The 23,182-nt window shown below is 42.8% G+C and overlaps 1 protein-coding gene across 2 annotated transcripts in view, besides 6 other annotated features; it reads left to right on the top strand.

Moving 5' to 3' along the window:
* Positions 2,238-2,690: a transcriptional cis regulatory region, noted in NCBI's record as "candidate enhancer chr2.1553 targeted for multiplex CRISPR interference". NCBI's record gives its function as "positively regulates SRSF7 gene expression with high confidence in K562 cells {active_cell/tissue: K562}" and the evidence as "EXISTENCE:mutant phenotype evidence [ECO:0000015][PMID:30612741]".
* Positions 2,310-2,494: a silencer, noted in NCBI's record as "fragment chr2:39369213-39369397 (GRCh37/hg19 assembly coordinates)". NCBI's record gives its function as "represses an EF-1alpha promoter that drives an FKBP-Casp9 reporter gene in an ReSE screen in K562 erythroleukemia cells {active_cell/tissue: K562}" and the evidence as "EXISTENCE:reporter gene assay evidence [ECO:0000049][PMID:32094911]".
* Positions 15,452-15,551: an enhancer, noted in NCBI's record as "active region_15615". NCBI's record gives its function as "activates an Ori minimal core promoter by ATAC-STARR-seq in GM12878 lymphoblastoid cells {active_cell/tissue: GM12878}" and the evidence as "EXISTENCE:reporter gene assay evidence [ECO:0000049][PMID:35858748]".
* The window catches only part of SOS1 (SOS Ras/Rac guanine nucleotide exchange factor 1), a 143,320-nt gene continuing 139,835 nt past the window's right edge, over positions 19,698-23,182 (top strand). For both annotated transcript variants that reach the window (XM_047445581.1, NM_001382394.1), the window contains exon 1: positions 19,698-19,902. In XM_047445581.1, coding sequence (XP_047301537.1) covers positions 19,837-19,902 — 66 coding nt within the window. In that variant the 5' untranslated portion in view covers positions 19,698-19,836. The remainder of the gene's footprint in view (positions 19,903-23,182) is intronic.
* Positions 19,939-20,068: a silencer, noted in NCBI's record as "silent region_11385". NCBI's record gives its function as "represses an Ori minimal core promoter by ATAC-STARR-seq in GM12878 lymphoblastoid cells {active_cell/tissue: GM12878}" and the evidence as "EXISTENCE:reporter gene assay evidence [ECO:0000049][PMID:35858748]".
* Positions 20,369-20,518: an enhancer, noted in NCBI's record as "active region_15614". NCBI's record gives its function as "activates an Ori minimal core promoter by ATAC-STARR-seq in GM12878 lymphoblastoid cells {active_cell/tissue: GM12878}" and the evidence as "EXISTENCE:reporter gene assay evidence [ECO:0000049][PMID:35858748]".
* Positions 20,549-20,718: an enhancer, noted in NCBI's record as "active region_15613". NCBI's record gives its function as "activates an Ori minimal core promoter by ATAC-STARR-seq in GM12878 lymphoblastoid cells {active_cell/tissue: GM12878}" and the evidence as "EXISTENCE:reporter gene assay evidence [ECO:0000049][PMID:35858748]".

Below are 23,182 nucleotides of genomic sequence, written 5' to 3'. Positions count from 1 at the left end.
ATACATTAGGATGGCTATTATAAAAAAATGGAAAATAACAAGTGTTGGCTATGATGTGGAGAGAATGGAATTATCATGCATTACTGGTGGGAATGTAAAGTGGTGCTGTGGAAAACTTTGGTAGCTTCTCAAAAAGTTAAACATAGAATTACCATACAATCTAGCAATTCCACTTTTAGATACATATCCAAAGGTTTTGAAAGCATAAATTCAAACAGATACTTATATATTAATGTTCATATTAGCATTATTCACAATATCCAAAAGGTGGAAAGTAACCAAATGTCCATCAACAGATGAATGAATAAACAAAACATGATACATGCATATTAGGAATATTATTCAGCTTTAAAAAGGAAGGAAATCCTGACGCATACTAAAACAGGGATAAACTTTGAAAACATCATGCTAAGTGCAAGAAGTCAGACACAAAAGGACAACTATTATATTATTCCAGTTATATGAGGTACCTAGAACAGTCAAATTATTAGAGACAGAAAGTATAATAGTGGTTAACAGGGGCTGGGGGAAGGGAGGTAAGAAGTTTTTGTTGAATGCATACAGAGTATCAGTCTGGGATGATGAAAAAGTTCTGGAAATGGATAATGGTGATGGTTGCACAACACTGAATTCATTTAATGCCACTGAATTGCACACTTAAGATGGTTAAATGGTAAATTTTATGTATATTTTACCACTATTTTTTTAAAAGCAGAAAAAGGAACAAACTGTGAATATAATCAACCACATACATGAAAGATTTGCTATGTCAGATAAATGATGTTGAGTGAAAGAATCCAGGCACAAAAAGAGTCATGATTCCATTTATAAGTCTGAAATAGGTATATTTATTGTTAAATACAACTTATAGGAGGCGATTGGTTTAGACTGAGCTCCTGCACTAGGCCCCAATAGAGCAAATCAAAATGCAGTCATTCCTGCTAAAGTTTCATGTCACCAAATGAAATTGTTTATCCGATCTTCCAAGAAATCAGGAGAGAGAGAGAGAATAGCCAAATCCCTAAACAGGCCAGTTTTAGCCTAGTATGTAAGAAAGTCTCCTCAGTTTTAACCCTATAAGGAAAGAAACTTTAAGGCGATCAATCTGCTTTTTGTTCCCTATTTCTGCTTTCTTCAGCCCTTTTCTGCCCATAAAGCCAACTTCCTCTGCTCAGCTCATTGGAGCCTTTTCTGAATTTTTAGAGAAGATCTTCCCGTGGTTCACAAATCACAAATAGAAGCCAATTAGATTATTTAAATTTGTTGTAATTTTGTCTTTTGACACTAACTTACAGTGATAGACATCAGAAGAGTGGTTGTATTTAGGCTGGGGCAAGTAAGGTTGATTGGAAAGGGGCATAAGGAGGGTGTCCCTTGAGAGTGATGAAAATGTTCTATATATTTATTGGGGTGGTGGTTACCATTGGTGGTGTATACAGTTGTCCAAACTCATGGAACTGTACACCTAGTATCTGTGCAGTCTATATAAAGGATATGCCAATTAAAAGCAAACAAACAAAACAGTATGATGCAAAAAACAAAACCAAAGTAAAAATTTTTTTTAGTTAGAAGTAAGAGCTATTGTAAAATAAAATGATAGAATGCAATTCTGCTTCAAGACTTTAGGTTTTTCTGAGTAGCCAGAGCTCATTTCTTCACTGGTCAGTCGAACCAACATGAAAAATCCACAACTCTCAAGACGAACTTAAAATATTTTGCCATTATTTCTTGGGGCTTTTTTTGTTTTGTTTTAGCTTTCTTCTTTTTTTTCTTTTTTTGAGACAGAGTCTTGCTCTGTCACCGAGGCTGGAGTGCAGTGGTGCAATCTCAGCTCACTGCAGCCTCCGCCTCCTGGTTTCAAGCGATTCTCCTGCCTCAGTCTCCTGAATAGCTGGGATTACAGGTGTGTGCCACCATGCCTGGCTCATTTTTGTATTTTTAGTAGAAATGGGGTTTCACCATGTTGGCCAGGCTGGTATTGAACTTCTGATCTCAAGTGATCCGCCTGCCTTGGCCTCCCAAAGTGCTGGTATTCCAGGCATGAGCCACCGAACCCGGCCTTGTTTTAGCTGTTAATATAAGTTAACATTAATCAGGAAAAGGGCTTTAATCTCCTCAACTCCCAAGTATTGCTTTCCCAAGCATCTCCTTTATGGTCTATGTATTCTTGACAATTTTCTGATTTTAGAAAAATACTCCCCTTACATACTCTATGGTAGTCTACTCAATGAGATATTAATTTTGGTAAATACAAATTTGGTGACAAAAAGATTCTGCTTGGTTTTCTGCTGAAAAAGACACAAGCAATTGATTAAATCATCAACGCAAACTGAAATGTAAATCCCCAACCAAACCTTCTCGGAACCACACCCAACTTTCTGGGTAGTAGGGCAGAGCCTGGAGAAATAGGTCAGCCAGGGCTGCAGGGAGCTAGAAAGATAGATGAAAGAGGGAGGATCCCATTCATTTTCAGTGCCATCCACTGTTTTAGGAGCATTACTGTAATTATGTCATTTAAAGAATACAAATAAGAGTATGGAAAAGGGATTTGGGATTCGAACAGAGGTCAAAAAATTCCTTGCCTGTCTTTATCCAGCAAGTACAAAAACATTTCTTGGCAGAAGCTGACAATGACAGATTCCAGGACGGCCTGGGTAGAGGTGGCTGCCAAGAACAGTCACCTCTTAGGAAGTCTAACACCTCCCCCCACCCCAAACAGGTGGCCGGGTCTTTGTAAGACTTGGCTAAACAGCCGATATAAGAAAGTGTGTGTTTAATTTTGGAGAAAGGGCCTGCTGTTTTATATGATTATTTTTAATTAGCTATTTTCTGAGGTTTGATTAAATTTGGAAATAATTGCATCTTGGGAACTATTCCAGAACCTCAGATTGTAAACCTAGGGCTGCCTCAGGAATTTGGGGATGGGTTGTCACCCTCTGACCAATTGCCAGTCCTGAAAACAAGCATCCTTTGTCTATAGAAGAGGTCGTGGCCATGCAAATTTTTCTAGTTCTTCTCTGCCTGGAAAGAGAATCCCATCTGGCTGACTTCTCTTTTTTCTCTATTTTCTTGTATGAAATATGCAAAACACAAATGCATGAGCCACCAGAGCAGCAGACTATGTCGCCTGAATATTGCAGATAAAATGGAAACATGACAAGAAGTTAAAATTTGCCCTTGGAAAAAGCATGCAAAATACACTTTATTTGCATAATGACATTACAACACTTTTAATACATCCAGAAGGGGAAGTCAAGTAAATTATGGGGGAAAAAAGAAAATTGCCAGTTTGAAAAAATTCAGTCATAAATAAACTGTAAAGAGAAATCATTTAAGGATCTAGAATATTTAAAACTGGGATGTGAACTCACTGTTTTATAAATAGAAAAACCTGTTTCATTTTTTGTTTGAGACGGAGTCTTGCTCTGTCACCCAGGCTGGAATGCAGTGGTGCGATCTCAGCTCACTGCAACCTCCGCCTCCCAGGTTCAAGCCATTCTCCTGCCTCAGCCTCCCAGGGAGCAGGGACTACAGGCATGCGCCACCACGCCTGGCTAATTTTTTTTTTTTTGTATTTTTAGTAGAGACGAGGTTTCACTATATTGGCCGGGCTGGTCTCGAACTCCTGACCTCAAGTGATCCACCCGCCTTGGCCTCCCAAAGTGCTGGGATTACAGGCGTGAGCCATGGTGCCTGGCCAAAAAAACCTGTTTCTTTGTAGTGTTAAGATTATGTGTCTGACCCATTTCTGTTTATCACTTTGCAATTTACAAAGCACTTTTACACCCATTATACTATCTGATACTCATGACAATCTATGAGTTAGGTAGGGCAACTATTATTAGACCTGGTTTATACATGAAGAAACTGAAGTTCAGAACAGTGTTGTTCAAGGTCATACATGAGCTTTAATTGGAACCCACGTGCAGGTCTTGACTTTCAAAACTCCTGGACTCTTTACACAATATCCCACTGCTTCTATTCTCTTCCTGAAAATATTACGAAACTAAATAAGTTAACCATAGGGCAAACTCCTTAGTTAATTATATTTACAAGCACAAATTTAGAAAGGCTTTATAGTGTGGTCGTGAAGACCATGGAATGTGAAACCACTGCTTAGCTGTGTGACCTGGTGTAAACTACTAAACCTTCTATGCCTCAGTTTACTCTTCTGTAAGATAGGAATAATAAAAGCCCTTATCTAATCCAGGTTTCCAAAGCAACATGTGAGTTAATACATGTTAAGCACTTGGTACAGTTCCCGGTTCACAGTAATCACTTAATAAGTGCAAGGTATTATTGTTTTTGCAAATTAATTTTTGTGTTTAGGTTACTCCAATAAGAGTAACTGAGATATTTTAAGTAGCTTTGTATGTGTTGTATTACATAGATCCTAAAACTATACAAAATAAAAACTGAAACCAGATATTTCACTATCTCTAGTTTGCTCTTGCCAACTATAAATATATTTCTCTGTTATCTGATTTGGGATCAGACCTCAGAGTCAAATTAATTCGCCTAAAGTCATAACAAAATACTGTAATTTACATCAACCTTGCATCATCCTAGTCTAAGAATCACAGAGACTTCAATGTAATTTGGAACAGCCTTTTGCCCTTTCCAAAAAAATGCTCAAACACTTCGCTTGCTCAAGAACATTTATTATATAGAACATTATTTAGATATCAAGTCCCCTCAGGGAAATATTAAGTAGCAGACTTAGTTTTTACCCTCAAGATACAAGCAAATACACAGTCAAATCATTGAGTCTTTTTGCATCATAATGCAAGGGTGCTCTCAAAAACTCTGGGGCCAGGTGGAAAGAACACAGGAATAGCCTGAAGGGAATTCTATCAGATAAATGAAGAACTAGCTGGACATGAGAAAGAATGGTGGCATTCAAGAATTAGCAACTGAGTTTCCAATGTCTATGAATCCATAGTGATGGGGGTGGTGATGGGGGAGAGGGGGGATAAAGAGAAAGGAAGGCTTTTCTATATAGAAGAATGGCAGCTAATAAACATTCAATGAATACTGGAAATTCACCATTTTGCAACCCCAGTGTTATAATTAATTAAAGCAAGAGTTATCTAAACCTGTGGTTCTCAAATGTCAGTGTGCATCAGAATCACCTAGAGGCTTGTTAAAACAGAGATTACTGGATGCCACCCCAGAGTTTCTAATTCAGCAGGTCTGAAGTGGAACCCAATAATTTGCTTTTCTATCAAACTCCCAGATTATGCCAGTTCCAGAACAACACTTTGAGAACCACTTATCTAAACAATCAGGTGATGGGTTATTGAAGAACAGGATATTCACACAAACAACTGTTCTTCTTTTTCTTCTTCTTCTTTTAATGTAATACTGTTTAACTTCAAAAACATTCCAGCATTCTAAACTAAACAAAACAAAAATAACAGAACGTGCAAATCGAGTTTACGTACAGAAGGTTCTTGAACTTTCATTGATGGCAGTGACTCTTCACTTTGCTGACAATGAAGAGTTCTACAGTTTGTTTAACAAACACTTTGAAAACTATCACACTTAGGCTGGGCGCGGTGGCTCACGCCTGTAATCCTAGCACTGTGGGAGGCCAAGGCAGGTGGATCACGAGGTTAGGAGTTCAAGACCAGACCAGCCTGGCCAATATGGTGAAACCTCCTCTCTACTAAAAACACAAAAATTACCTGGGCATGGTGGCAGTCACCTATAATCCCAGCTACTCGGGAGGCTGAGGCAGAGAATTGCTTAAACCTGGGAGGTGGAGATTGCAGTGAGCCGAGATTGCGCGAGTGCGCTCCAGCCTGGGCAACAGAGCGAGATTCCATCACAAAAAAAAAAAAAAAAGGCCGGGTGCAGTGGCTCACACCTGTAATTCCAGCACTTTGGGAGGCTGAGGCAGCAGATCACCTGAGGTCAGGAGTTCGAGACCAGCCTGACCAACATGGAGAAACCCATCTCTACTAAAAATACAAAATTAGCCGGGCGTGGTGGTGCATGCCTGCAATCCCAGCTATGCAGGAGTCTGAGGCAGGAGAATTGCTTGAACCCGGGAGGCGGAGGTTGTGGTGAGCAGAGATTGCACCTTTGCACTCCAGCCTGGGCAACAAGAGCGAAACTCCGTCTCAAAAAAAAAAAAAATTCCAAACACTTCTTATGTCAACAGACACCGCTAAGTTGGACACAACTAAGAATGGCAGCAGAATGCTGTGTCACTATATACAGAAACAAGACAATCTGAAGCTAAATGTATGACTGCTGCAAAGTCAACAGGTCCAGGCTCACAGTGCATGCGCTGAGCCGCAGCCGCTCCAAAAGGCATCTTCCCCAACAGCCTCAGCGCCAAGCAAGGAGCATCAAAAGTTTGTCTCAGTTTTGTTTTCTTCTTTTTACAAACCATAGATATATACAGTATCAACTGGCCACTGAGTATAACTTTTGACTCTCGAAAAACTTAACTACTAATAGCCTACTGACTAGGAGCCTTACTGATAATATAAAGTCTATTAACATGTGTTTTGTATCTTGTATGTCTTTTTTTTTTTTGAGATGGAGTCTTGCTCTGTTGCCCAGGCTGGAGTGCAGTGGTACAATCTCGGCTCACTGCAACCTCCTCCTCCCAGGTTCAAATGATTCTCCTGCCTCAGCTTCCCAAGTAGCTGGGACTACAGGTGCGTGCCACCACACCCCGCTAATTTTTGTATTTTTGGTAGAGACAGGGTTACTCCATGTTGGCCAGGCTGGTCTCGAACTCCTGACCTCAGGTGACCCGCCCACCTCGGCTTCCCAAAGTGCTGAGATTACAGGCGTGAGCCATCTTGCCCAGCCCTTATATGTCTTATATACTGTATTCTTAAAATAAAGTAAGCTAGAGGAAATAAAATGTTATTGAGAAAATCATAAGGGTCCGGGGGCGGTGGCTCATGCCTGTAATCTTAGTACTTTGGGAGGCTGGGGCAGGTGGATCACTTGAGGCCAGGAGTTCAAGACCAGCCTGGTCAACATGAGGAAACCCCATCTCTACTAAAAATACAACAAATAAGCTGGGCGTGGTGGCACGTGCCTGTAATCCCAGCTACTTGGGAGGCTGAGGCAATGAGAATCACTTGAACCTAGTAGGCGGAGGTTGCAGTGAGCTGAGATTATGCCTTTGCACTCCAGCCTGGGCAACAGAGCAAGACTCAATCTCAAAAAAAAAAAAAGAAAAAAAAAAGGGGTGGGGGTCTTGAACTAAATGTTTTCCATAATGGCAGAGGGTAACAAAGCCTGAAGAAATTAGGCTGGAAGACATTACTGCATGCTGCAGCTACAAAATCAAAAAATAGCAATAGAGAGACACCATCTCCAGCGAAAATTATTTTTGTAACATTGCATCAGAGATTTCTTTTTCTAAGAAAGACGCTTGTCTTAGCAATATAGATTTTAAAATAATGTGAAAGATAAATGTTTTAAGATAACTTTAAAAAAATCAATGTTGCCGCAGCCACTCTGCTTTATATGGGGGACTAGGAATCCTTTACTCTGCAAAAATAAATTAAATAAGTTAACTCAGTTCTTTTGAACTGAGTATTACTTTCTCGCTACATGTAAAACCACAAACCACTTTTGTAAAATTCTTTGTGTGATAATGAGGTAGATTAAGGGAGATCTTTTCAGAAAATATATGTTTCTTTGCTCGGTACTATCTGTAAAAAGAGGCTAGTTGACAATGCATTTCGGATAGGTCCCAGATTACTCTCCTTAAGGAATCCCCATTCCAATCTTGAGGCTGCTCTGAGGAATAAATGCACTTAGAGCTGGAGTAGGCATAATTTCAACGGTGCCTCAAAGACCACCTCTCCGACTCCTGTCTTTTTTAAGTGAATCTCATTAAAGATCTTTTTTTCTTTTTTTTTTTTTTTTTTTGAGATAGAGTCTCGCTCTGTTGTCCAGGCTGGAGTGCAGTGGCGCTATCTTGGCTCACTGCAAGCTCTGCCTCCCGGGTTCACGCCATTCTCTTGCCTCAGCCTCCTGAGTAGCTGGGACTACAGGCGCCCGCCACCACGCCTGGCTAATTTTTTGTATTTTTTAGTAGAGACGGGGTTTCACCGTGTTAGCCAGGATGATCTCGATCTCCTGACCTCGTGACCCGCCTGCCTCAGCCTCCTAAAGTGCTGGGATTACAGGCGTGAGCCACCGTGCCCGGCCTCATTAATAATCTTGATGGTCATCCATGGGGAAAAGTTGGTTCCCCAAAGAAAAGCTCCCACTGGAAGAAGGGGAAGTGACAGGACAGGTAAAAATACAGATTGCATGTCAGTGTTTGGTTCAGTGAAATTAGAATCTCTGAGGAAATAGAACTTCGGAATTAGGCAAGTGAGGGGCTAGGGCAGCAGGATTTGGGTAAGGAATAGGGAGACAAATCATAGAGGTAGCCAGTGGGCAGTATGGGTGGAGGGAAGCTCCCGGTAGTCTGAAGCCTCAGCCTGTCTGTCAGGTGGGGAAGGAGAAGGTGACACAGAGAAACAGGGCCTGCTTTCATTTTTCCTATGTTGCAAGTGCATTATAAATATCACTTTCAGCAAAGCTGATAAGGCTGAAATTATGCAGTTCTGGGCTTAACGTTTTTATATATTTTTATCCCATGCCTCAATCAACATTGCCTTCCCCTCCCACTTCCTCCCACGCTTCTACCCCAGTAAGATACCCTTTTGTCACTTGCTGTCATAGCAATGGGTTGTAGAGCCAGGAAAGGAGGGCAAAGCGAAGGCTTTGAAGGGCTGAGACCTATTTTACTTCTTCTGCAGTATCCAGATCCTTACTTCTTATCCCCAAGGGCCATAGGAATTCTCCCAGTGGTCCCAAACTCTAGTTGGGATCTGCCTTTAGATGAAAGCCAAAGTCAGATGTGCCAGTTGAGAACCAAGAGGGGAAAGTGTGTCCAGCCATTTTGGCTCATCTGCATTCCATGATAATGATATACAAAGAAACACATAATTAAAGACATTCCAAAGTGCACATAAGCATGCACACTTATTTACTTGGTTTTGAGAAGATGTTTTAATTTTTTTTTTTTTTTTTTTTTTTTTTTTATGAGACGGAGTCTTGCTCTGTCTCTCAGGCTGGAGTGCAGTGGCGCCATCTCGGCTCACTGCAAGCTCCGCCTACCGGGTTCACGCCATTCTCCTGCTTCAGCCTCCCAAGTAGCTGGGACTACAGGAGCCCGCCACCACGCCCGGCTAATTTTTTTTTGTATTTTTAGTAGAGATAGGGTTTCACCGTGTTAGCCAGGATGGTCTCGATCTCCTGACCTCGTGATCCGCCTGCCTCGGCCTCCCAAAGTGCTGGGATTATAGGCGTGAGCCACTGCGCCCGGCCATGTTTTAATATTTCATAGTTTTTAAAGTTTATAAAATTGTACAAAATAGCCTTTTCTTTTTCCTCTGGTGGTGGTAACTTAGCATGGGTCTCATTTATTTATTTATTTATTTATTTATTTATTTATTTATTTATTTATTTATTTTTTGAGACGGAGTCTCCCTCTGTTCCAGGCTGGAGTGCCCTGGCGGGATCTCGGCTCACTGCAACTTCCGCCTCCCGTGTTCAAGCTACTATCCTTCCTCAGCCTCCCGAGTAGCTGGGATTACAGGCATGTGCCACCACCCCCGGCTAATTTTTGTATTTTTAGTAGAGATGGGGTTTCACCATGTTGGCCAGGCTGGTCTCGAACTGCTGACCTTGTGATCCTCCAGCCTCAGCCTCCCAAAGTGCTGGGATTACAGGCATGGGCCACCATGCCCGGCCTGGGTCTCATGTTTTTTACAGTGCCCAAATATAGAGTGGCACATGCAATGCATATATCACAAACACAGAAATGTGTTTTTGGTTTCATGAACGTAGGTCAAGGATCCATTTTTCTAGCACTGAGTTTTAAGGGTAAGAGTTGAATAGTGACTAATGATCATACTTACCTCCTAAAAACAAAATGCTGACGAACAAGAAAGGGATTGAGCAAGGGGACCTCTTCAAGTCAGAGCCTGCCATCAGCCCCAGCTGGACCTGACAATAGCCTTACACACTGATGTCCCTCGAAAGATTAATAAACAAAGATATTGGGACTTTCCTCTTGTGAACAGTCTCGCTTTTCAAAAAGATTAATCTGAAAAAGCAATGTACATATAGTCCTTGACATGAGGAGCCACTGGGATGGAGTGAAGCAAGAGCTGACCTTGGAGTTTGTTGACAGCTTTGTAATGGGTGATGTAGGTAGGGCAGAGGGCTTACATTCACTGGGCCCCAGTTTTCTCCTCAGAAAAATGGGGATATTAACAACTGTCTCATAAAATAAAATGTAAGTAAGGTACCTGGGATGTGAGATGCTCAAAAACTGCTAATTTCTTTTCCCCACAGCCAAAGCAATTATTTGAAAAAGGCAGCACGGGGTGATAGAGCATGGCCTATGTATGAAGAATGAAACAGAGGGCTGGCCTGGCATGGTGGCTCATGCCTATAATCCCAGCACTTTGGGAGGCTGAGGTGGGAGGATCGCTTGAGTTCAGGAGTTGGAGCCTAGCTTGGGCCACATAGTGAGATCCTGTCTCTACTAAAAGTTAAAAAACTGTCCAGGCGTGGTGGCTCATGCCTGTAATCCCAGCACTTTGGGAGGCCAAGGAGGGCAGATCATTTGAGGTCAGGAGTTTGAGACCAGCTGGCCAACATAGTGAAACCTGTCTACTAAAAATCCAAAAATTAGCAGGGGCATGGTGGCACATGCCTGTAATCTCAGCTACTGGGGAGGCTGAGGCAGCAGAATAGCTTGAACCCAGGAGGCGGAGGTTGCAGAGAGCCAAGATTGCACCACTGCACTCCAGCCTGGGTGACAGAGTGAGACTGTCTCAAACAAACAAACAAACAAAACCAAGAACGAAGCAGAAGGTAATGGCAACATGAGGGAGCTCCAGGTTGATGATTTTGATTTACTCAATAAAGTAAAAGTCAAGGTCAGGAACAAAAGGCAGGTGGAAATAGATGGGGAAAAAAGGTACAAGAAAAGAGGAAATGCTGTAACTAGGTGTTCTGAAGATTGATGTATAGAGTTTACTAGAGATTCAGTAGATTTCTGGGTGATATTGAGCACCCCTTTGAGGCTTAAGATTAGGAAGTTAAGGTGACACCAAGTGGTGCAATTGTACGATTCTCTAGTAATGCTTGGGTACACAGGAGCACACACAGAACTAGTGGATGTTTGAGGTTATTTGAGACTGGACTTTTTGCAAGGCAAGTGTGGCAAATGGAGAGAGGCAAGGAAATGGAAAAGTATGTTCAAAGGCATAATAATAATAATAATAATAATGAAATTTAAGCTAAAGAGAGAAAAGACAGCAAGAGATTGCTCTTAAAGGAGGAAAGTTATTGATATTCATTTCAAATCTGATGTGAATTATATTACCTTCCCCCTTAGAAGGCAGAGGCAGTTAAGACCAACTCTGTTTTATTTCTTATTTTTATCTCTTTTTTGAGATAGTGTCTCACTCTGTCACCCAGGCTGGAGTGCAGTGGCATTATCTTGGCTCACTGTAACCTCTGTCTCCTGGGTTCAAGTGATCCTCCTGCCACAGCCTCCCAAGTAGCTGGAATTACAGGTGCCCACCACCACGCCTGGCTAATTTTTGTATATATATATTTTTTTTTACTAGAGACAGGGTTCACACCATGTTGACCAGGTTGGTCTCAAACTCCCGACCTCAAGTGATCTGCCTGCCTTGGCCTCCCAAAGTGCTGGGATTACAGGCAGGAGGCACTGTACCCGGCCCCAGCTTTGTTTTGAAATAATAATATTTTATCTCCATCATATTAGCAACTAAACCCAAAAGTTTATCAATAGAATAATACAACATGAGCAAGAAGAGTTTATTTTAGGAATACACAAGTGCTTAAATATTACATTAAATGATGAAAGAATTACCAAATGATCATATGATCAGATACTGTTATCAGTTATCTATTGCTGTGTAACAAACCACCCAAAAACTTTGTAGCATAAAGTAACCAATGGGTTCTACTCATAGATTCTGTGAGTCAGTAATCAGAACAGAGCACAGCAGGGACAATTTATCTCTCCACAATGTCTAGAGCCTCAGCTAAGAAGACTCAAAGTATGGAGTGACTTGATTGCTGAGCAACAGAATCATCTGGCGGTATCATCATTCACTTGTTTGGTACTTGAAGCTGGATATTGTTTCGCACCTCAGCTGGGCTATCAGATGGAAAACTTACACGTGGCCTCTCCGGGTGCTTTCTCCAGGGGTTCATCTGAGCTTTCTCATAGCGTGACTGATGGGTTCCAAGAATAAACATTCCAAGAGAAGAAGGTGGAAGTGCATGGCATTTTTAGGATCCAGCCTCATAAATAACACAGTAGCCCTTCTGCAGTACTTATTTGTCCAGGCAGTCACAGAGATCTTCCTAAGTTCCAGAAAACAGGATATGGACCCCACCAATCTGTATTAGTCAGTGTTCTCCAGAAAAACAGAACCAATAATATACATACAAGAGGAGATTTATTATGGGAATCGGCTCATGCAATTATGGAGGCTGAGAAGTCCCATGATACATTGCCTGCAAGCTGATGAAGCAGGGAAGCTAGTGGTATAATTCAGTCTGAGCCCAAAGGCCTGAGAACCAGGGGAGCCAATAACGTAACTCAGCCTGAGGCCAAGGGCTGAGAAATCAGGGGCCTCTTGCCCAAGAACGTGGAGTTCTGATGCATAAGGGCAGCAAAAGATGGGTCACACCTCTAGAAGAGAGAACACATTTGCCTTGCCTCTGCCTTTTTGTTCTATCCAGGCCCTCGGTGAACATGACGGTGACTGCCCACATTGGATGAGGGCAGATATTCCTTATTTCGTCCACTGATTCAATGCCCATCTCCTCCAGAAACACCTTCACGGACATACCCAGAAATAATGTTTTACCAGATGTCTAGGTTTCCCTTAATTCAGTCAAACTGACACCTAAAATTACCATCACAAGTCCACCCCTTGTCAACTTGTCACACGTCTCCTTTTTAAAAATTTAATTATTATTATGATTTTGCCAAAGCCAAATACTTCTGAACCATATGTGTCTCCTTAGGCCATACTTAATCTTCAAATAAAGACAATAGCAAGCTGGGTGTGGTGGCTCACTCCTGTAATCCCAACACTTTGGGGGGCTGAGGTGGGAGAATCTCTTGAGCCTAAGAGTTCCAGAGCAGCCTGGGCAACATAGTGAGAGCATGTCTCTACCAAAAATAAAAATAAAAATAAATTAGCCAGGCCTGGTGGTCCCAGATACTGGGGACTAAAGTGGGAGGATTGCTTGAGCCCAGGAGTTCAAGGCTGCAGTGAGCCGTGATTGTGCCACTGCACTCCAGCCTGGGCAACAGAGTGAGAACATGTCGGAAAGAAAGAGAGAAAGAGAGAAAAAGAGAAATGGAAGGAAGGAAGGAAGGAAGGAAGAAGGACAGACAGACAATAACAAAGTCATAGTTCCACCTTACATGATACAAGTATCCTGTGTACAACTGAAAACACACTAGTCCCTTCCCCAGTAGAGGGGGTAAAGTTCTTGAGTGATGTTTACTCTTCTGATATCCCATAATTTAAATACCATGATATAAAATTATGAATACTTAAAAATATTGATATAAAGTCAAAACAGCTAGCTTATCTTACATGATAAAGGAATAAGATGGAAAAAACCTGTCTTTGCTTAATATGTGTATATATACACACAAATGTATTTTTTGGGGGTGGGGGACAGGGTCTTACTCTGTTGCCCAGGCTGGAGTGCAGTGGCACGATCTCGGCTCACTGTCACCTATACCTTGCCGGCTTAGGTGATCCTCCTGCTTTAGCCTCTTGAGTAGCTGCAACTACAGGCACACACCACCACACCCAGCTAATTTTTGTATTTTTAGTAGAGACAGAGTTTTGCCATGTTCCCCACCTGGTCTCAAACTCCTGGGCTCAAGCAATCTGCCTGCTTCAGCTTCCTAAAGTGCTGGGATTACAGGTGTGAGCCACCGCGCCTGGCCACAAATGTATTCTTAACAAAATAGGGAGGAAATTCTTATGACAATTACAGTCCTTGAGTCTATAACTGGTCACATGGTTGTAGCTGTTGTTTATAGTTAACTTCTATTATCTATTCTGTATTCTCTCTGCCTTCAGTAAGCATCTCAACTGGTCATAGTTCTTTACTTGGTGGGGTCACCCAAATCTTCATTCCTAAAGGATCTGGGCCATTTGAAGTCCTGCCTGATTTGAGTTGTAGTTTCCCATTGACTTTAATCACAGGGCATGGTAATACTAAGAGGTACCCCAACGGATCTCCTGTATTCCAGACATATTATTTCTTACCAGCATTGTGGAGTATCCAATTTAGTAGTCCCGATCAATCATCCCAGCCAACACCATAACTCCCTTCTTGGTCTGTTGACCCAGAATCATAAGGCACCCAAAGGGAGCAGGTGGCAGTCTTACTTACAATTTAATGAAATCATTGTTGTGTCTCCTGATTAAAGCATTCCTCCCTATAGAACTAAAGACCTTTGGGCCAGCAGAGCATGTCTTGGGAACAGGAAGCAAAAATTTTGCTAGTGGATCACTAGGGATGATGGTGAGTGCTGCCACCTCCATTTCCACCCCTTGATTGCTGGACCCATGAATTCTGATTCTGGGAGAAACAGTACCATATATTGGATGCTGATTCAGAAGAACATACAACCTGCTGGAGAACTTTGCCCCAGCTCTATAAGGTGTTGTCATGTAATGGGCAATATAACTGCATCTTCAAAAGGCCATTCCACCATTCTATCAAGCCAGCTGCTTCAAGATGGTGGGGGTCATTGTAAGACCAGTGAACTCCATGAGTATGAGCCCATTGCTGCACTTCTTTAGCTCCAAAGTGAGTTCCTCGTTCAGTCCACAGATGACAGTTTTGTTGGAAGCAATGGAGACAGTGTCAAGCATGTAGAACGAGAGATACTGTGGCCATCTTAAAAAACAATCTGCTACAGATACTGAAAAATTATCTCATAACATTCAGCAGCTTTTCCTTTTGAAAGCTCATAGATCAAAATAAATAGAGGGATGAATATATATGCAAAATAATTGAAAGCAGCATCCCAAAGAAATACTTGTGCACCCAGGTTCATAGCAGCATTATTCACAAAAGGTCAAACAACCCATGTCTCTTGAGGTTACAGTCATCTGAGATTTATTCATCTCAGATGAACAGTGATCTGCTGAATAAACAAATGTGTCATATACATACAATGGAAAATTATTCAGCCTTAAAAAGGAAGGAGATTCTGACACATGCTACAACATGGATGAACCTTGAGGATATTATTCAACCTTAAGTGAAACAAGCCAGTCACAAAAAGACAAACACTGTATGATTCTACTTATATGAGGTATCTAGAGTAGTCAAATTCATAGAAACAGAAAGTAGAATGGTGGTTCCCAGGGCCTGGTGGGGAGGGGAAATGGAGAGTTGTTGTTCAGTGGGTTCAGAGTTTCGCTTTTGCAAGATGAAAAGAATTCTTGTGATTGATTGCACAATAATGTGGATATACTTAACACTACTAAACTATATATTTTAAATTGGTTAAGGGCTGGTCTGAGTGCAGTGGTGTATACAACTAATTGATTACAACTAGTTACAGATTTCTTTGTTCCTTCTCCACTCCCACTGCTTCACCTGACTAGCTTAAAAAAAAAGTAAAATAAAAGGTTAAGATGATAAATTTTGTATTATGTGTATTTTATCACTCTTTTCTTTTTCTTTTGTTTTTGAAACAGAGTCTAGCTCTGTTGCTCAGGCTGGAGTGCAGTGCATGATCTCTGATCATTGCAACCTCCATCTCCCAGGCTCAAGTGATCCTCACACCTCAGCCTCCCGAGTAGCTGGGATTACAGGCATGTGCCTCCATGCCCAGCTAATTTTTGTATTTTTAGTAGAGATGGGATTTCATCATGTTGGCCAGGCTGGTCTCAAACTCCTGACCTTGGGTGATCTGCCCACCTTGGCCTCCCAAAATGCTGAGATTACAGGCATGAACCACCTCACCCAGCCTGTATCACAATTTTTAAAAAGAAATAGAAAATTTTCTAGACATGCTAAAGAATGATATGGCAGATATTGCATATTAGTATGCTCTAGAATGAACATACAGGCAGAAGCTAAAAAACTACATTTTCTAGACTCTCCTGTGGCTAGGGCTTGAGATATGATTTGCATCCCACGAAACAGAAGCATTTGTTGAGACTGATTTGAAACTGAGTCATATGTAGACAGAGGTGATATCAAGAGGATCTGCTTTGCTGGGGTAGACTGTGGCAGAGGTGGCATGGTCTGCAGCCAGCTGTTGTGCAGCAGCTTATTAATTTGGCAGATGACTTCCTGATTCAGCAGCTTTCAACATCAGTGATGGCTGCATTGCCAATTTTGGTCAAGGCAGAGCAGAAATGGGGTCCAGGAGTTGCTGCTGAATCCTTAGCCTAAGTCCTAATCCTCCAGCATTTATAAAAAGGCTGAAGGCAAAATATCATAGTTTGCATATAAAATGATTGTAGAGAATCAGAGATGTTATTTTAGAAAGAAAACTATTAGAACTAATGAAAAATTAAAGAGGCCAGATTTAAGCCAACTATATGAAAAACAATACTTTTTCTTTAACCCAGCAATAATCACGTAGAAATGCAGATTAAAAATCCCACTTCAAATGACAACAAACTTGATAAGAATCAGGAATAAATTTATAAGAAATGCACTAGACTTATTCAGCACAGAGGTTTCATTTCAGTCCTCTTTCCCTCTGTTCTACATTCTCCGAACTAAATCAATAAACAACTAAAAGGAATATTATAATGAAATATTTCATGAGAACTGTAGTCTCAGTTATAAGAAAACCCATTTTTGCCTGATCAGCTGAGCAAATTAAAATTCAATTCTTCTTTAACCGTTACTATTTTCCATCCCAAGGTTCTGTTTTTGTTTTAACTTCTATGTTAGACTTAAGAAAAAAAAACTCTACACCCTATAAATCAAGGCAAACTTTTTCAGTTTTAGAGAAAAGAGGTTAAGAGGAAAACAATTCTAAAAAAGCAATGTTTCTGCCTCGGGGAGAGAAACCTTTAATACAATCCTTATGAAACTGTGTTCCTGGCGTTCCCTTCATAAATCATGCATGTATAAGTAATTTTCAAAGATTTTGGGAAATGAGCTGTTGCACAAGGGATGATGGGATGTGTTATTTTGTTTCTGTATTTTTCTTTCTCTTTCCCTTTTTTACAGTTGCTGGTCATTTATTGGTCAAAAAATAAAGAGGGTGTCTCTGTCAGAAGCAGTCAAAAAATAATAGGTCTGATGAAATATGAATGCCTGAGCTATATTTATCATAAGTAAACTATGTTTAAGAAACATAGCCAAGGCTGGGCACGGTGGCTCACGCCTGTAATCCCAGCACTTTGGGAGGCCAAGATGGGCAGATCACGAGGTCAGGAGTTTGAGACCACCCTGGCCAAGATAGTGAAACCCTGTCTCTACTAAAAATACAAAAATTAGCAGGGCATGGTGGCGTGCGCCTGTAGTCCCAGCTACTCGGGGGGCTGAAGCAGGAGAATTGCTTGAACCCAGGAGGCGGAGGTTGTGGTGAGCCAAGATTGTGCCACTGCACCCCAGCCTGGGCAACAGAGCAAGACTCTGTCTCAAAAAAAAAAGCAAGTAGCCAAAATGATGGTAAACTGCAAGCTCTTTCCTTATAGATTCAGAGCCACATCAATTTCTCCACATTTTTTAAAGAAATAAATCACTTTGGAAAATTACAGATATATTTCTATAATCAATAAATTTGAGGTATTTATATGGATTCATCATAATTAAAAATATTAGTTGTTATCCTATAAAACAATATACATATACAAATCAGTTGGGTCCCCTGGGAAGCAGATGCTGAGCTGGAGTTAAGAATGCAAAAGGTGGCCGGGCGCCGTGGCTCACGTCTGTAATCCCAACACTTTGGGATGCCGAGGTGGGCGGATCACGAGGTCAGGAGATGGAGACCATCCTGGCTAACACGGTGAAACCTCGTCTCTACTAAAAATACAAAAAATTAGCTGGGTGTGGTGGCGGGCGCCTGTAGTCCCAGCTACTCGGGAGGCTGAGGCAGGAGAATCGCTTGAACCTGGGACGCGGAGGTTGCAGTGAGCTGAGATCAGGCCACTGCACTCCAGCCTGGGCGACAGAGCCAGACTCCATCTCAACAACAACAACAACAACAACAACAACAACAACAACAACAACAAAAGATATTCCTTATTTTCTTCTCAGATTTTTTTTTTTTTTTGAGACGGAGTCTTGCTCTGTCATCCAGGCTGGACTGCAGTGGGGCGATCTCGACTCATTGCAAACTCCGCCTCCCGGGTTCAAGCAACTCTCCTGCCTCAGCCTGCCGAGTAGCTGAGATTACAGGCGCATGCGCCACCACGCCCGGCTAATTTTTTTGTATTTTTGGTAGAGACGGGGTTTCACCATGTGGGCCAGGATGGTCTCGATCTCTTGCCCTCATGCCTCGGCCTCCCAAAGTGCTGGGATTACAGGCCTCGGCCTCCCAAAGTGCTGGGATTACAGGCGTGAGCCACTGGCGCCCAGCCTTCTCAGAGTTTTATAATTTTGCTTTTTGCACTTTCTTCAATCCAATGGGATTGTTTTGCGTAGGGTGGGAGTTACAAGTATATTTTTTCTATGTGCATTTATCTATTGCACATTATTTCATTTATTGAACAGTATAGCCTTTACCTATTTATCTGCAATGCTTACGGTATCAGGTTTCTATATATTTGGCTGTCTACTGATCAATTGGTTTGTAGGTTCTTGTGCTAATATCCATTGTTTTAATTACTTTAGCTACGTAATCAGTTTTCACATCTGGTAAATCAAGTTCCCCTACCTTCTTCTTTTACAGGAGAATTAGCCTTTTGCTCTTTCATATACCTTTAAGAATGAGTTTGTCAAATTCCATGACAATCCCTGTTGGGAATTTCGTTAAAGTCACATTGCATTTGGATGTGATCAATTTGAGGAGCTATTACAACTTGAATCAACTGGAAAGAGACTTTTGCAAAAAGTCTTCTCTTCTCTCTTAGAAGATAAACTTGGGCATATCCTATAAGCTCCCTGCAGAAATCCCGAGAAAGAAGTGCGAGGAATAGTCCCATATGTCTTGGAGAACCTCTGATAATCTCTTCTAACTGTACCATCTTTGCAAAGGCAGGGATGGAAACAGAGAGGGAGGAAGAGGGCGGGGGACTCAAAGTATTAGCTAAAGGTGAGTAAAGAGTGGGCATCTAGTGTTCTTCTCAGTCACTATTTTCTCTGGTGTGTTTCCTGGAGATACATTTTTTGGAGGAGAGGAATTGAAAGGAGGCATTGGAAAGACAGAGGGTGAGGGAAAGACAGAGGGTGAATATGTTCTGGAGGAGAGAGTACCTTAACTGCTGATGGCTGAAACTGCTGTTCCTTCTACCTGTTCGGCTCTGAAGGAATCAGAGCCGAAAACAAAAAAAAAACTTTAGAGAGAAGGTAGCATTTGAGCTGAGGGCGCGCAGGGTGGATAAGAGTTCCAGCGCGAGCGTGTATCTGGGAGCTGGGGTGGGGCTGTGGTGGGCGGCATTAGAGAAAAAAGGCGACAGGCATTCTGAATAGCAGGAGACAGAGACAGAAGTGATGTGTTTGTAGGAGGCAAGAGCAGTTCATTTTGAGTGAGAGATACAGCTAGAAAGATAAGTAGCGGTCCGATTGTGCAAGGCCATGGATACCAGGTTAAGGACTTTGGAATTTATCCTGGGACGCCAGTGTGAGTTCTTGAACAGAAAAGTAAGTAGCTGGGTCCGAAGTTCGCGTCAGAAGGATCACTGTGGCTGCAGCAAGGCAGAGAACCAGGTGGCCGCGTCCTGGCCAGCAGGGCAGGCAAAGGCGCGGAGCGTTGCACTTGCACCTGCAGGGGGCACACTGAAGGGCCAAACGCCCACCCCCGCCCCCGTCCTCGCCGCCCTACTCCGATGCGCCGCGCTCGGAACTCGGCTAGCCCGCCTGGACGCGCCCCTCTCGGTCTTCGCCTATTCCGCCCGGACGCGCCTCGTGCGTCACGTCCGCCGTGGCGTGAGGCTCCTTAGAGCTGAGGAGGGAAGCGAAAAGAAGCCTCTGCGCCTGCGCCAGGGCGCACCCGTCGGCGGTAAAAGCTGAGGGGCTGGCGCGGGGGATTGGTGGGCGACACTTTTACGTCTACACGTGCCTACCCGTCTGCACGTTTCTGAGTCCGCACGGTTGTCTTCTCTTGCTGAATGGACATAGGTGTTTTGTTTTGTCCCAAGAGATACAGGCAAGCAGTACAGGGGTGATGGAGTGCTCCTTGACCTTAGCGGGGCTGACCCTGGCACTCCCTGTAGGTCTCCCCGCTGCGAAGCACTGAGTCTCTTCACTGCAGTTTCTCTCCAGTTACCCGCCCTGTCTACGGCCCAAACGGCCATGCTAGTGAAAACCTGCCCTGGCCGCTAAGCAAGCCTAGCCCAGGCTGTAACCCATGTTTCTAGGGCTTGTTTTCCTCTGCAGTCAAATCAGAGATTCGGAGTTGAAGGGGATCTTAGAGGTCAACATGCCCAACCTCTTAGCCCGAGTGAGTGAATGTACGCTTTTTACCTGCACACCCCGAAAATCGCCCGTTTTCTGGAAACAACGTTGATTATGTAGTCCTGGAACTTTCCTGCATGCACATTTTATTCCTTCGACAATATTTATTGCTACCTACTGTGTGCAGGCATTGTAGGCCCCGGGGATACGATTAAAACCAATGAAGAACGAAACGCACAAGATTGTTGATCTCGGCCGGGCGCGGTGGCTCACGCCTGTAGTCCCAGCACTTTGGGAGGCGGAGGTGGGTGGATTGCTTGAGGTCAGGAGTTCGAGACCAGCCTGGCCAACCTAGCGAAACCCCACCTCTACTAAAAATACAAAAATTGGCCGGGCTTGGTGGCGTGCGCCTGTAGTCCCAGCTACTCGGGAAGCTGAGGCAGGAAAATCACTTGAACCTGGGAAGTGGAGGTTGTAGTGAGCCAAGATTCCGCCTGCATTCTAGCCTGGGCAACAAAATGAGACTCTGTCTCAGAAAAAGAAAAAAAAAAAAAAAAGATTGTTTCTCTCTCTCTAGGAGTTTACATTTTATTTGGGGGCAGGAGGGAAACCAACAACCAAAAATAGAGGACTGATTTGATTTAGTGCTAGCAGGAAATAAAAAGAACATAAGGTAGAAATACACAGGTGAGAATTACTTGGAGTGATCGGAGAAGGCCTCTTGGAGGTGGTGATGTTTATAACCAGCCAAGGGAACAGTTAGGGGTTCTAGGCTGAGAGAAGAACAATGTTCTTTAGGCAGGTTGTTGTTTTCTAGGAATAGACAGAAGGCTACTGTGACTGGAGTGTGGTGAGGCGAGGTTGTGAATGGTGAGAAAACATTGAGAATGTGAGCAGGAGCCAGATGCACGCCTTTGTGGGGTACGGTAAGAAGTTTGAAATGTATTCTAAGAGCAATGGGAAGCCAAGCAATAGTTTGGGGTACAGGCTTGATGTTGGTTCATTTGGAACCATACAAACCAATCTCTTCCCCCATATCACAACCCTTTAAATATTTGAAGAGGGCTGACCGGGCGCGGTGGCTCAGGCTTGTAATCACAGCATTTTGGGAGGCCGAGGCGGGTGGATGACGAGGTCAGGAGTTCGAGACCAGCCTGGCCAATACAGTGAAACCCCATCTCTAATAAAAATACAAAAATTACCTGGGTGTGGTGGCAGGCGCCTATAATTCCAGCTTTCATTCCACACACTTTGAAAGTGGGGAGTTTTTCAAATGTAAACCAAGTATGTATATTTTTATTTTTTCAATAAAACAATAAAGATGGGTCTCGCCAGCCTGGTCTCAAACTCCTGAACTCAAATGGTCCGCCCACCTCGGCCTCCCAAAGTGCTGGGATTACAGGCGTGAGCCACTGCGCCCGGCCGGTCTGTGTGTATGTGTGTGTGTGTGTGTGTGTGTGTGTATATTTTTTTTTGAATTGAAACGGAGTTTTGGTTTTGTTGCCCAGGCTGGAGTGCAGTGGCATGATCCCGGCTCACTGCAACCTCTGCCTCCTGGGTTCAAGCGATTCTCCTGCCTCAGCCTCCCAAGTAGCTGGGATTACAGGCGCCCACCACCATGCTCGGCTAATTTTTGTATTTCTTATGGAGACAGGTTTTCACAGTGTTGGCCAGGCTAGTCTGGAACTCCTGACCTCAGGTGATCCATCCGCCTCGGCCTCCTAAAGTGCTGGGATTACAGGCATGAGCCACCTCGCCTGGCCGGCCTGTGTATTTTTAAAGGAAATAACCTAAGAGTTGTTTTTCCAGATTTTCAAAGAGGTCCTGTAAAGATTAAGAACCACTGAACCTTTCTCGTTTATGTGATCCTGGTTACTGTTCTCAGGAATAGCAGGACACAATGTCAGCTTTAACCCAGGCTAGTTCCTCTAAACTGCCTTCTTATCGGTGAAATGAAAATAATAGGGTTGCTATGGGGATTAAATGAGATGATACTCAAAAAAATGATAATTAATGATAAATCATAAGGTGTCTGCCACAAAGTGCCCCTATTATAAACAAACAGTGGCCTGGAGGGACAGTTTATAAATACTGCTCCTTTAGCATTCCACTAACATTGACTGAGTGCCTGTTCTACACTGTGTAGAGGCCCTGGTGAAAAAGATCTGCCTTCCAGTTTATTATCTAGTCGAAAGAACCGCAAAAGATAACAAAACACAATAGACTGAACGCCCTGAGAGGGGCATAAGTGCAGTGCTCTAGGAGCTGTAAAAGAGGTCTCGATATCCACTGGAGGAAAGTGCTTACTGGAGTTCATTTCTGGAGTGGGTTTAAAAGATGAACAGAGGGAATCTAAAACATTCACACAAAATCAATACTACACGTACACATTTTATTATTTTGTGGAAAGACCACTTAGAAACACCGCAATCACTTCTACTACTCAGCAGATACTGAGCAGTAGGTTTCGTGACAGAGCACCTGTCTTTTGTCCAGTCTGTTTACTATACATTGCGTGCTCTGGGCA

This window comes from Homo sapiens, chromosome 2 (genome assembly GCF_000001405.40).
Source record: "Homo sapiens chromosome 2, GRCh38.p14 Primary Assembly".
Lineage (NCBI taxonomy): Eukaryota > Metazoa > Chordata > Mammalia > Primates > Hominidae > Homo > Homo sapiens.
This window is presented reverse-complemented; position numbering and strand designations above follow the sequence as displayed.